This window comes from Homo sapiens, chromosome 8 (genome assembly GCF_000001405.40).
Source record: "Homo sapiens chromosome 8, GRCh38.p14 Primary Assembly".
NCBI lineage: Eukaryota > Metazoa > Chordata > Mammalia > Primates > Hominidae > Homo > Homo sapiens.
In genome coordinates, this window is record NC_000008.11 from 42,358,420 (window position 1) to 42,373,200 (window position 14,781).

Consider the following 14,781-nt stretch of genomic DNA (forward strand, 5'->3'; position numbering starts at 1 on the left):
TGAACCTGGGAGGCGGAGCTTGCAGTGAGCCGAGATCAAGCCGCTGCACTCCAGCCTGGGCGACAGAGCGAGACTCCATCTCCAAAAAAAAAAGAAATTAACTTTTAAAATTGGAATAGAAAAACCTTATTTAAAACATTTTAGAGTATGTTAGAGTAGATAGAGTAGATACCTGAACTGAATCTCTGGCCACCTGTGGAGTTTTGTCTAGGAAGTAGGTGATGGCCTATCAGGAATACTCTGGGTAGCTGCTGTAAGAATCTAGAGTTGGAGAGAGAAAACTAAATCCATACTCACTGATCAGTAGAAAGAACATTGGACTGGGGTCAAAAGACCTGGGGTCTGAGGCCAAATCTACCACTATTATGTCTCTCCTGATCTTAGATTCCATACTCGCAAAATGAGAGAACTGAAGTTAACCAGATTTTCAAGTATGTCTGCATCAGAAATACCTAGGACTTAAAAAAAAATACATATTGTTGTACCCTTCTGCAAATAAGAATCTCCTTAGGTGGGAACTGGGATTCTGTATTTTCAAAATGTAGATTTGGAAGCACAGCAAGCCAAATGCATGCTATGTTGGCTATGACAGCCTTCCTGGATTTATTTATTTCTATTTTAATTTTACTTTTTTGGGGTATGTTGTATGGTTATATGCTTTCACATAAAAAGGTATACTCTAAGACATCTCACTTCCACAGTCCCTATGCACTCTTTCCTACTCCTTCTAAGTCCCATTAAGAACCACTTCCCTATGGATTCTTGTAACGTTTCTTCATGAAAATACAACTAAATACTAGTATACCATCTTTATTTCTTTCTTCTCTCCCTTTCTTTCATAAAGTTACATAATATATATACAATACTATACCTTGCTTTTTTCACTTACAAATAACATCCTAGAGATTTTTCCATATCAATATATAGAAAACTTCCTTATTTATTTATTTTTTGAGATAGGGTCCCTCTCTGTCACCCAGGCTGGAGTGTAGTGGCGTGATCTCGGCTCACTGCAACCTCCGCCTCCCGGGCTGAAGTGATCCTCCCACTTCAGCCTCCAGAGTAGCTGGGACCACAGGCACGTGCCACCACACCCGGCTAATTTTTTTTTTTTTTTTTTTTTTTGGTAGGGACATGGTTTTACTATGTTGCCTGGGCTGGTCTCAAACTCTTGGCTCAAGTGATCCACCCACCTTAGCCTCCCACAGTGCTGATATTACAGGCATGAACCACCATGCCCGGCCCCTTATTCTTTTTTGTAGCTGTGTAACATTCAGTTGCATGCATGTATCATACTTCATTTGTTTATCCAGTCCGCTATTAATGGACCCTTGGGTTGTTTCTCTTTCTTTGCTCATACACTTTGTTTTTGTTTTTTTTTTAATAAAGTGAAACATTTTTGTTGGTAGGCGGACAGTGAAAGACATCCAGCTTTTAGGAGGAGGAAATGAGAACAAGAGAAGGCAATAGAATTTTCTTGATTAAAATAGTTTCCATGGATGTCCAGTACACATTCAGTCTAGTCTTCTTTTTTTCTTTTTTTTTTGAGGCAGAGTCTCGCTTTGTCGCCCAGGCTGGAGTGCAGTGGTGTGATCTCAGCTCACTGCAACTTCCACTTCCCAGGTTCAAGCAATTCTCCTGCCTCAACCTCCTGAGTAGCTGAGGTTACAGGCAAACACCACCATGCCCGGCTAATTTTTGTATTTTTTTTTTTTTTAGTAGAAAAGGGGTTTCACCATGTTGGCCAGGCTGGTCTTGACCTCCTGACCTCAAGTGATCCGCCCACCTTGGCCTCCCAAAGTGCTAGGATTACACGTGTGAGCCACCTTGCCCGGCCTGGCCTTCTTTATATTTAAATATTTGGTTAAGGCACTGTGGCTCATGCTTGTAATCCCAGCACTTTGGGAGGCTGAAGTGGGAGGATCGCAAAGACACTGCAAGCTCTTTAGTTACCAAAAGGGTGTTTGGCCTCTGTTGTACTTATCAAAATGAAAGGGAGGAGATAGATTGGATTCTTTTATGCTGTATACCAGGCACTATAGTGGATGCTTTTACATATGTTCTTATTTACTTACACAATAGCATATGAAGTAGTTTTTAGTAGTTTACATATAAGAAAACTGAGGTCTAGAGGAATGAAGAGTCCTCACTTGCAACACTGAAAAAAAAGTAAAATGAAAAAATTCCATCTCAGTGGAGACAGAATTTCATAGAATATAGGAAAAGAAAGGTTTAAATAGCTGTATATAACTTGCCTGAAGCTATGTGGTTGTAGAGTATAGACCTATTAATTGAGTTCAACCATAAGAATTGAAATGAGTTTTCTTTTTAAAAAAAAAAAAAAGAGAGTGCCTGGATCTCTCTGTGTTGACTGGGTTGGTCTCAAACTCCTGGGCTCAGCGATCCTCTGGCCTCAGCCTCTCAAAGTGCTGGGATTACAGGCATGAGCCACCGTGCCCGGCTGAAATGAGTTTTCTGATTAACCTTTATAGAGTTAGAGTATATTGTTTAATTTGAGATTTTTACATATAGAGTTGTTCATAGGTGTATTTTAAAGCTATTTTAAAATATTGTTTTTATTCATTATTGAGTAGTTACTTAGGTGCATTTTTAATACATTAAATTAACTCGTTGTATGCAATGTATATCTAATGCCAATTACTGTTGTCATCACAGATTCTGCTGTCTACATCAATACACCTGAATAGTTGGACAGAAAATTGAAATCTTTTAACTAATTCTAACTATGAAGCACAGTGAAATAGAAAGTTAGGCTGTAAGAAGTAAGGCTCTTCTGTGTGTCATCAGCTTGGTTCCATTTGCCCAATTGATACATTTACATGGACAATCTCATATGTGTCTTCTGTCATCACAGGTGCAGAGTCCAGTGGTGACATGGATGTTCTCCTGACCCATCCCAGCTTCACTTCAGAATCAACCAAACAGGTGCCTCAGAGTTTATAATCAATGGTGATCAGTCTTACACAACAGTGAATTTCACTTTTTAAGTGATAGTTGGGTATTTTCAGAATAAGTTTTGTTTTCGCCTTCCTGAAAAGTCTGAAGAGCTTTGTACTGATTGAATTCTGCGAAAGGCAAATTTCTCGAAAAGGATACCTATTATTCTTCCATGAGTTGCTGGGAGGACAGTCTAACATTTGAAAGAGAAAACATTGAATACAATAGTTTTAGAACGATTTACTGTCTGTGATAAATACTTTAGAAATACTATAATCAGATTTTCATTAAATTTTATCTTAAAAAATGAAATATTGAGAAACCTTCTATTAGAAAACCTGTGAAGGCAAAACATTTTTTATTTTAGAATATATGCCTTTGGAAGGTGAAACAGCTGACTCTTTGATTGCTTTTTTTTCCCATGAGCCATTTCAAGAACAGGAAAACTCTTTGATTTAAGGAAACAGATAAATACAACTGATCATTGTTTTTACAATCGTAATACCTTAAACAGTGGTTTCTAAAAATATGTTTCATTTGATAAGATGAATTTTCTATTAGAGGGAAAAAGTACTTGCTCAGAACATTAGAAAACATAGAGATGGCCGGGCACGGTGGCTCATGCCTGTAATCACAACACTTTGGGAGGCCAAGGCAGGTGGATCACGAGGTCAGGAGATCAAGACCATCCTGCCCAACATGGTGAAACCCCGTCTCCACTAAAAATACAAAATTAACCAGGCGTGGTGGTGCGCGCCTGTAGTCCCAGCTACTCGGGAGGCTGAGGCAGGAGAATCGCTTGAACCCAGGAGGCAAAGGTTGCAGTGAGCCGAGATCGTGCCACTGCACTCCAGCCTGGCAACAGAACGAGACTCCATCTAAAAATAAAATAAAATAAAATAAAATAAAATAAAATAAAATAGAGATTTCTCCATAAATAATTAGAAAACTCATGTTAAAAATGTTTTCTTCCCGGGCTCGATTCCCTGCCAAAAAAAAAAAAAGTTTTCTTATTCAGGCATGATGTTGTTCCTGGTACTCTGGATGCTGAGGTGGGAGGATCACTTGAGTCCAGGAGTTCAAGGCTATAGTTTGCCATGATTGTACCTGTGAATAGCACAGTCTCCAGCCTGTGCAATATAGCAAGACTGTGTCTCTAAAAATATTGTTAAATATTTTCTTGCCATTACAAAGTAATTACTCTTTTTCTTATTCCCTAATTATGATTCTACAGCCAAAACTGTTACATCAGGTTGTGGAGCAGTTACAAAAGGTTCATTTTATCACAGATACCCTGTCAAAGGGTGAGACAAAGTTCATGGTAAGTACTTGTTAGAGTTAGCACATCTAAAAAAAAACTTGGAGACTGTTCAGTAGCCATTCTGAGTGTGTGACTTCATGGTAGCTTTGAATTACAGTCACCAAATAGAGTATCCATGAGACTTTAAAGAAAAATAATAGCAGGGGCCGGGCGCGGTGGCTCACGCCTGTGATCCCAGCCCTTTGGGAGGCCGAGGCGGGTGGATCGCCTGAGGTCGGGAGCTCAAGACCATGCTGACCAACATGGAGAAACCCCGTCTCTGCTAAAAACACAAAATTGGCCGGGCGTGGTGGCGCATGCCTGTAATCCTAGCTACTCAGGAGGATGAGGCGGGAAAATCACTTGAACCCAGGAGACGGAGGTGCGGTGAGCATAGATCGTGCCACTGCACTTCAGCCTGGGCCACAAGAGAGAAACTCCGCCAAAAAAAAAAAAAGAAAGAAAAATAATCAGCAGGATGCCTGATTCTCATAGCTACTCTCAGAATATTTTAGGAAAGAATTTTCTTTTAATTCTCCACTTGTAAATAACACGTGTCATCAGAATAGTTAATTAGGCCTGGGCATGGTGGTGTAGTCCCAGCTCTTTGGGAGGCCGAGGTCAGCGGATTACAAGGTCAGGTGATCAAGACCATCCTGGCCAACACGGTGAAACTCCGTCTCTACTAAAAATACAAAAAATTAGCTGGGCGTGGTGGTGTGCGCCTGTAGTCCCAGCTTTTCGGGAGGCTGAGGCGGGAGAATCACTTGAACCCGGGAGGCAGAGGTTGCACTGAGCCGAGATCGCACCACTGCACTCCAGCCTGGGTGACAGACCGAGACTCTGTCTCAAAAAAAAAAAAAAAAAAAAAAAAAAAAAGAATGGGTTAATTAGGCATAATCTGCTTTTTGAAAATACCAGTAATGACTTTGACACACAGTAAGTTTTTCCCTAAAATAGCAAATGGTTCTCATCTTCTCTGATTCAGAATTCTTCAATAAGTAACGTAGTTAGAATTGATTGAAAAATATTAATCTATTTCAACACCAAAGAAAGAAAAGTCATCAGGGTCTGTGATAGAACACTCAGGGGAAGAAACGTTACATGGAATGATAATGAGGAAAGTTGATTGGGGGGGAATTAAGACTTAATAATTCAAGATGAATGGCTAGTGGATTAAAAGCAGATTAATAAATGATTCTGTATAAACACCAACAGGAAGGCAGATAGAAATCTAGAATTACGATTCTTTTTTTTTTTTTTTTTGAAAAGGAGTTTCACTCTTGTCACCCGGGCTGGAGTGCAGGAGGGCGATCTCGGCTCACTGTAACCTCCACCTCCCGGGTTCAAGCAGTTCTCCTGCCTCACCCTCCCGAGTAGCTGGAATTTCAGGTGCCTGCCACCACGCCCAGCTAATTTTTGTATTTTTAGTAGAGACCAGGTTTCACCATGTTGGCTGGGCTGGTCTCAAACTCCTGACCTCAGGTGATCCGCCTGCCTCAGCCTCCCAAAGTACTGGGATTGCAGGCATGAACCACCGTGCCCAGCCTAGAATTAAGATTCTTAGTTCCTTTTTTTTTGAAACAGGGTCTTGCTCTGTCACCCAGGCTGTAGTGCAGTGGCGAAACATGGCTCACTGCAGCCTCACCTTCCAGGGTTCAAGCAATCCTCCCACCTAGTAGCTGGGACTGCAGGTGCGCACCACCATACCTGGCTAATTTTTGTATTTTTTGTAGAGGTGGGGTTTCACCATGTTGCTCAGACTGGTCTCGAACTCCTCAGCTCAAGTGATCCACCCTCCTTGGCCTCCCAAAGTACTGGGATTACATGTATGAGCCACTGTGCCCGGGCCTCTTCTTTCTTAAGGTGACATTTAGTGTTCTGTCACTTATATACATCATTCGAGTCCATTTTCTCAACACCCCACTTTTCCCGGGTGATATGACTGAAAGGAAAGAGACTGTGCTTTTGGAGAGTGGATGTGCTAAAATTAGTAAGAGTCTCAGTGCATAGATTTGACAAGAGTTTTAGCCAAAACTAGAAGATAGTTGAGAAAGATAATTAAATTGTCATGTCATTCAGAAAGTAGAGTGGTGTTTGCCAGGGCCTGGAAGGAGGGGGTAATAGGGAGTTCCTGTTTAAATGGCACAGAGTTTCAGTTGGGGAAGATGAAAACATTCTGGAGATGGATGGCGGTGATGGTTGCACAACAGTGTGAATGTACTTAATGCCACAGAATGGTACACTTAAAAATGGTTAAAATAGTAGGCACAGTGGCTCATGTCTATAATCCCAGTGACTTGGGAGGCTAAGGTGGGAGAATGGCTTGAGCCCAGGAGTTCGAGGGTATAGTGAGCCATGATCGCACTACTGCACTCCAGCCTGGGTGACAGAGCAAGACCCCATCTCAAAAAAGAAAAAAAAAATAGATGGCCAATAGATGGTAAATTGTATGTTGTGTATATTTAACCCACACACATACAAAAAATCATGTCATTAAGTTCAGCATGGTGATATTAGTGGGCTGTGAAAGTGTATTTTCTAAGGTGGTCACACTTTAACAATGCTTCCAAACGAACTTTGGAAAGATAAAAGTAAAGGTTCTAGTCAGTCTTGGAAATTAAATCTCTGATTTGTTCTCTTGACTCTGTCAAGTTTTGAAGTCTTACTCTGTTCCCAAAAGTATATACATACATGAGATGGTATTAAAAATAGGGCTTGTGTATGCCCCATGAACAGCCTTTTCAAATTTAGGTGGATTTTAATTCACTCAAAATGAATGTGCATGAATCTTACATTTAAGAATATTCAGTCAGATAAAATCCTAAAAACAGTATCTGCTAGACAAGTTGGATGTTGTGCACAGTAGAAAAGTATCTTGCTACGTCTGGGCATATTTTGGGGACCTCTCTGGCCTAAATCTTCCTCAAGTATCATCCCTGTGAAAGTCACTAGAAATCCTTACTGGGAAGTGTGCCAACTGTTTTCAGAGTTAATGACCAGGAAGGTAGTTCCACACTACCATGGCAGAAGCTGTTTTTTTATAATCTTAATGGTGTTCTGCTGTGCTCGAAGAGAGATCCAGAGGAAAAACCAACAGAAGCTATAGGAATCCAGCTAGCAAGAATACAAGGTAAAAGGGCCAGGCATGGTGGCTCACGCCTGTAATCCCAGCACTTTGGGAGGCTGAGGCAGGTGAATCACCTGAGGTCAGGAGTTCAAGACCAGCCTGGCCAACATGGTGAAACCCCATCTCTACTAAAAATACAAAAATTAGCTGGGCGTGGTGGCGGGCGCCTGTAGTCCCAGCTACTGGGGAGGCTGAGGTGGAAGGATCGCTTGAACCAGGAAGGCAGTGGTTGCAGTGAGCTGAGATTGTGCCAGTGCATTCCAGCCCTGGCGACAGAGCAAGACTCCCTCCCAAAGGAAAAAAAAAAAAGGAAAAAGTATAATCTAGTGGGCTGGATGTAACCTGAAAAGGAAAGGTGGGTAGCCAAGTCTTTGTGATCTTGTTGATAGTGTTGGACTTGGGTTATCCCAGTACATGTGCCACAGGAAAGAATACTAAGGCCACTCACCCATCCTAGGATAGACCCTATCTTGACTTCCCTGTCTTTCAATCATACATCTGGCAGCACATCTACTGGTATTGCCAGGAAAGGCATCCCCCAGACATATTTCCAGAAGAAAACAGGCTAAAAAACAAGAAGACTGGGTCTGTTTATTTGTTTTTAAAGTATAGAAGATTCAGGTGACAATAAGAACAAGAAACTAAGGCCTTTATGTTGCGACATAGGAATCCATCTCAGTGGGTGGTTTTTGACAAAGTTTGGATGTTATACCTGTGGTTCATAGTCCCTGGAACTTAAAAAAATACCGTAGTTGAGCATGCTGTTTTGACATTTGTAATCATTGTTAGGAAGAGAAGCACTCGAGGTCAACTTTCAAATCAATTTTAGAGACAGGTAAGAGGTGGTTTGTATCTTTCATTATAGAAGAATAAATTTGGATACAGAAGATAGAGGGTCTTATTCTGGCTCCATTACTAATACTCTGTATGGCATTGGGAAGGTGGATTTACTTCTAAAAGGCCTGAGTTTTATCTTTAAAATTGATATTTGCCCTACGTCAGAAGACCGTTATGCAGATCAAAATTAAATAGTATATGTGGAAACTTTGAAGAGTTTGTACAAATATTTGATGTACAAATAAGAATTTGCACAACTTCAAAGATAATGGATCTTCCAAGAGTTGTACAAAGAGAGCTGCACAAATATAAGATGTCATCTGTGTGGAAATGGGTCAGTAGAGGCAGGTGACCTGGTAAGGGTTAGATTGGGGAACAAAAGAAGGGATAGAAAGAGAGAGGATGGTGCCATGAAAGGAGAACAGAATGAGGAGAGTGAGCACCCCCAGGGCAGCAGTTGTATTCAGTCAGTTCAGCAAATACATACAAGCATGTCCTCCATTCCAGGCACTGTTCTCGAAGCTTGGGATGTATCCATGAATTTAAGTAAAACTCATATTTGAGGACTGTGGGAAGGGACTGATAGTTAACAATGAACATAATAAATATGTGAATTATATAATAGGTTGGGTAGTAAGTGTTATTTTTTAAAAAGGAAGAACAGGGTCTAGGGGAGAGGAGAGTGCAGGAGGCAGTATTAAATAGTGTGGTTGGAGGCAGCCTCATTGAGAACATGAGACTTAGGGAATGACATAGGGAGTTAGCTAAGCCGGTATCTGAGGGAAGAGATAGCCAGGCAGGAGTCCGAGCACCAAGCCTATGGGAATGAGCATGAGCAAGATATCTAATGAAGATGAGAGCTCTAGGCTTCTAAAAGGAAATTGGCTGCAAAATGAATTCAACTTAGGTAGTGAAATAAACCATTCTCATTCCATATCCCCTTTTTTTGCAAAACCTCTTCTTGCTATCACCACTTACTAGTCTTAAAGGTATGCCTCTTCATGTGTTTTTCAAGTTATATTCAAGACACAAATTCCTTTAAGCTAATAGTAATCAAACCTTAGGAAAGCCATGGTTATTCCAGATCATCTTGTGCAATCATAGTCTTTAGATAATTGAGCTATACTATATTCCTGTGAATATAGTAACACTCAGAAGAAAAAAAGTTTCCTCTGCATTCAACTATTGGTTTTATATACGGTGAGTGCCATTCAGATTTCAGTATTTTGTGCAAGTTTGGCCTTGGGTGATTTTCTGTGAAATATCTGCAGTAAGAATTCAAGGGACAATAGGAGATACCATGGCTACCCCGAGGAAATGAAAGAGGTTTTATTTCCGACACTCAGTATGAAGCTACCCAAATGAAATGCCAAACAAAGCTAATCCACTCAATCTAATACAGAATTTACAGTAAAACAGAGAAATTCTTTAATATTAGCACTTCAGAAAAAGTGCAGGAAATAAAATTAGCCTTGAGGAAAGGAACAAAGCCATGAGATAAAATCCTATTACTGATGTGACAAACAGGAACATCATTCCCTGTGGTATCTAGACATCCGCATCCGCAAGGTAATACCTCCTGGTAATTCCAGGTGGAAATGACTTCTGATCCACTTGAAGGTGGAAGTTGAGTTGGAACTTGTTAGTGCCTAAGAAGGTAGGTTTCATATTTTGAAGGTAAACATATTTCATTAATCTTTCTTCCATAGGAACAGCTAAAGAATTAGTTTAGATTTTAATTTTTCTATTTTGCTGAGTGAAAAAGTATGGCTTTTAGTGGCATGTGTTAACTTGACCACTCTTGAGGACCAGAAGCTTGTCACTTGTGTATTTTTCTTAGAATGTAGCATTTGATACTTTTAATTGGAAATTTGGTGGTGCTTATATCTTGTTTTACATATGTATGGGTTGCTGACCAGTCCAGATTTTTTGTCCATTTTTCAGGAAAGGGAAAAGATAAAACAGACTTGGATAACTTTTGTTTGGAAATTGTAGAAGTATAATGAAAAATTACCTGTGAAGGAAGAAAGTGATCCCCTCATTTTCTGATCTCATATTTTTCTTATTTTCCGTGTCTTTCTCCCTTCTAGTGTCTGAGAGATTTCTTCAATTTCAAACTCTTTTACTTCTGCTACCTATCATTTTAAATTTTGATTTAAACCTTTCCCTGAGGGTTTTCTATAGTATTCTGTTCTTACTTCATGGATAGAGTATCTTCTGTTATTACTGGAAGCTTTTTTGTTTGAGACTATACTGGTAGCTTTTTTGTTTGTTTTCTTCTTCCTGCATAATCATCGTTTCTTCCACGTTGCTCTCTTCTGTTTATTTTGATGTCTGTGTTTCGTGTTCAGGGTTTTCTTTGATTAGTTTCTTGCTTAGAATCACACAAAGACCAAATCCTCATAATGAGAATCCTTATTTGCAGTTTTGTGTAGTTCTCTAATTATCGTGAAGTGTAATAGAAAGGTAGGGATAGTGTATTGCTCACAGAAGCTGCTAAGTTAAAAGTGCTCAGAATTCTAGAGCTGCTAACATTAAAAACAAAAATGGCCTTGTGTTTTACTTGATTAAAATTAAGCCTTAAGTTTAGAACATCTTTAAACTTGGTTTAAAATGTTCATTTTAGGGTGTTTGCCAGCTTCCCAGTAAAAATGATGAAAAAGAATATCCACACAGAAGAATTGATATCAGGTATTGTTCAGACTTTGTTGCTGACCTGTTAACTTTTCCAAACTTGTCTCGTTTTCTCCCTCCCTGTTTGTATCTTGGAGTTCACATTCATATCTAGAGCCTTTTTTTACTCCCAAGAGCCATATGTTCTTGCCAAATGCAATGTTTAGCTCCAAAGTATGTAAAGAATAATGACTGTCTACAGACTCCAATTTATTTTCTCTAGATTTGCACCTCACCATGATGCCTTCCACAGCTCAAAAGTCATTTCCTGCCTGGGCTAAGTTAGTTGTAATAGGTGATAATGCAATTTCATTTCTCCACATCTCTTTCAGAACAAAGTTCACAGAAACCTAAACAAATTACAAGGTTGGGGTGATTTGAGCAGTCTACCTCATGATAGTCTTCTCTTCAAATTATTAGACCACTTAGGCTTATCTTTGGTATTTTGTTCCTTATTGATTTTAGGAGTCCTATATTTGCTAAACTTGAAATGCATGGTAAAAAAATGTATCTACTGTCCATTTTTTTTAGGTTGATACCCAAAGATCAGTATTACTGTGGTGTTCTCTATTTCACTGGGAGTGATATTTTCAATAAGAATATGAGGGCTCATGCCCTAGAAAAGGGTTTCACAATCAATGAGTACACCATCCGTCCCTTGGGAGTCACTGGTGAGTGTCCATGTGTGTATTAGAGATCATCTCTCATCTGGAGAGAAGGTTATTTTCAAAGATACTTTGGTTTAGCAAACCTTCTAATAACTATGCCAGTTAGTGTAGTTTCTTTGTATTTTTAGTCCTTCAGGCAACGAGAGAGGATTTAATGCATAACATGCTCCTAGGCCCTCAGTTGAAGGCCATCAAGGCAAGCGTTAGTTCCAGCTTTGTTAAAATGGATTAAATCCTTGCATGCTCAGTAAAATATCTTATTCATCTAAAAGGGTTTTTTTTTTTTTTTTTTTTTTTTTGCTGTTGTTTAATGTACCTCTAGGACCCCTGAAAAACTCAAGTATCATTGTTTTCAGTGCCACATACTTTGCTTTTAGTGCCATGGTATCTTTGGCCCCATGCTTTTAAAGTTTAAAGAATAAGGATTGCTGAATCTATGCTTAATGGGTTCTGTTAACATTTCACAGTATACTATGTGGTTTACTGTTCTCTACTAGGAGAATGAATTTTTGTCATTTTGTCCTCAAAGTATAAAATACTTTGTCCTCAAAGTATAAAATACCTCATCCCTGGTAGACTAGGGCAGTGCTTCTCACAATTCAGTGTGCATACCAGCAACATGGGGGCCTCACTAAATTCAGATTCTAATTCCTTTGGCTTGCAGTGGGGCTCAGGATTCTGCATTTCTAGTAAGCTTCTAGATCAGAGGTTACCAATCTTTTAGCTTCCCTGGGTCACATTGGAAGAAGAATAATTGTCTTGGGCTACACATAAAATACACTAACACTCACGATAGCTGATGAGCTTTAAAGAAAAAAATCATAAAAACATCTCATCGTGTTTTAAGACAGTTTACGAATTTGTGTTGGGCCACATTCAAAGTGGAGCTGGGCCGCATGCAGCTGGCGGGCCATGGTTGGATAAGCTTGTTCTAGATAATGCCAGTGCTGCTAGTCCAAGAACCGAGTTGCAAAGGAACTCACTAGAGTATATAATACATAGTGGCTCCAGCAGAAAGGACAATCATGAGTGAGGATGACTTGAGTGGCCCTAGCTGGGATCCCCAGGTTCCCTTTGTGGCACTGATGACTCACGAGATGAAGCTCCAGCACAGCCTCCTGGGAGAGGATAGAGGTAGTCAGTGTCTTTTTTTTTGAAATGGAGTTTCGCTCTTGTTGCCCAGGCTGGAGTGCAATGGCACATTCTCGGCTCACTGCAACCTCTGCCTCCCAGGTTCAAGCGATTCTCCTGCCTCAACCTCCCGAGTAGCTGGGATTACAGGCATGAGCTACCACGCCTGGCTAATTTTGTATTTTTAGTAGAGATGGGGTTTCTCCATGTTGGTCAGGCTGGTCTCAAACTCCTGACCTCAGGTGATCTACCTGCCTCGGCCTCCCAAATTGCTGGGATTACAGGCGTGAGCTACCACATCCGCCGGTCTTTTTTTTTTTAGTGACTTGGTTACCATTTTCTTTTTTCTTCTGAAAGCAAGTCCCACACAGCTCTTAATCTTGAACCCTCTATAACTAAACTATAAAACTGGTTCTTACAATAAGTTTTTCTCTCTGTACTTGCAGGAGTTGCAGGAGAACCCCTGCCAGTGGATAGTGAAAAAGACATCTTTGATTACATCCAGTGGAAATACCGGGAACCCAAGGACCGGAGCGAATGAGGCCTGTATCCTCCCTGGCAGACACAACCCAATAGGAGTCTTAATTTATTTCTTAACCTTTGCTATGTAAGGGTCTTTGGTGTTTTTAAATGATTGTTTCTTCTTCATGCTTTTGCTTGCAATGTAGTCAATAAAACCTCATGTACTATTATTGGATGATGATGATCTTATTTTCTTAGCAAGTATGTTTAGTTTAAATTTTCATATTGTGTTCATGATCATACTTTACTATGGGTTTTGTAGAGAGAAATATGAGATGATAGCAGATCTTTAATGGGAATTTTTATTTTCTCATATTCTGCTCTATGCTATAAACCACATTACCCCTACTTACTGATCAAAAATTGTTAATTAAGGTACACCCAGAGACTAGCCTCTGGAAGACTGTTCAATATTTTCTAGAAACTGGGGGGGGGCGGGGCACGGTGGTTCATGTCTGTAATCCCAGTACTTTGGGAGGCTGGGGCAGGTGGGTCGCCTGAGGTCAGCGGTTGGAGACCAGCCTGGCCAACATGGTGAAACCCTGTCTCTACCAAAAATACAAAAATTAGCTGAGGGTGGTGGCATATGCCTGTAATCCCAGCTACTTAGGAGGCTGAGGTGGGAAAATTGCTTGAACCCGGGAGGCGGAGGTTGCAGTGAGGCAAGATCACACCAGTGTACTCTAGTCTGGGCGACAGAGTGAGACTCCATCTCAAAAAAATAAACTAGGGACCTTCATAAATTTAGTTTTTTGTTGGGCCCATATTTGATTGTGTCAGTCCATTCTTGCATTGCTCTAAAAGAATACTGGAGACTGGGTAGTTTATGAAGGAAAAAGGTTTAATTGGCTCATGGTTCTGCTGACTGTATAGGAAGCATGGCACTGGCATCTGCTAAGCTTCTTGGGAGGCCTCAGGAAGGTTTTACTCATGCTGGGAGATGAAGTGGGAGCAGGCACTTCACATGGTGAAAGCAGGAGCGAGAGAGAGAGAGGAGGTGCCACACTTTTAAACAACCAGATCTTGTGTCAACTAACAGAACTCACTCATCACCAAGGGGATGGTGCTGAGCCATTCAGGAGGAATCCGCCCCCATGGTCCAGTCACCTCCCACCAGGCCCCACCTCCAATACTGGAGGTCACATTTCAAGCATGAGATACGGAGGGGATAAACGTCCAAACCATATCATTGAATCTTGTAATATAAACTTATAACCTGAATAGAAAAACAGGTGTATGATTTATCTCTTAAATCTGTAGCACTTGCTTGAAATCCACTAGAAAGAGCTCCCCTAAGCACAACCACTTCTATGCACAAAATACAGCCCTTTTAAACTTCAAACAAACAAAAATTTCACTTTTTTGCCCGAGTTCTCCTCTGGGCTTTTAAGCACAAGTGGTCAAAATGTGTAAGTAAAAACACTCCTTGAAAGCCCTGCCTTTCAAATATTAAAATTATATAAATATAAAATATACAAAGTTATCAAATGGTAAGTAAAGCTACTGAAAACGTGAAAATGCTTTATAACTTGCAAAGGACTATACAAACATAAGATATCTTG

At 40.3% G+C, this 14,781-nt stretch overlaps 1 protein-coding gene across 12 annotated transcripts in view; it reads left to right on the forward strand.

The window, feature by feature from the left end:
* The window catches only part of POLB (DNA polymerase beta), a 33,315-nt gene extending 19,926 nt beyond the window's left edge, over nucleotides 1-13,389 (forward strand). For 9 of the 12 annotated variants that reach the window (XM_005273535.5, NM_002690.3, XM_005273538.3 and 6 more), the window contains 5 exons: nucleotides 2,876-2,946; nucleotides 4,193-4,279; nucleotides 10,852-10,916; nucleotides 11,430-11,569; nucleotides 13,144-13,389. In XM_005273535.5, coding sequence (XP_005273592.1) covers nucleotides 2,876-2,946; nucleotides 4,193-4,279; nucleotides 10,852-10,916; nucleotides 11,430-11,569; nucleotides 13,144-13,238 — 458 coding nt within the window. In that variant the 3' untranslated portion in view covers nucleotides 13,239-13,389. Of the gene's footprint in view, nucleotides 1-2,676; nucleotides 2,784-2,875; nucleotides 2,947-4,192; nucleotides 4,280-10,851; nucleotides 10,917-11,429; nucleotides 11,570-13,143 lie in introns of those variants that run through there. The other 3 variants (XM_005273536.5, XM_005273537.5, XR_428311.4) reach the window with 2 other exon arrangements.
* Nucleotides 13,390-14,781: the final 1,392 nt, after the last annotated feature.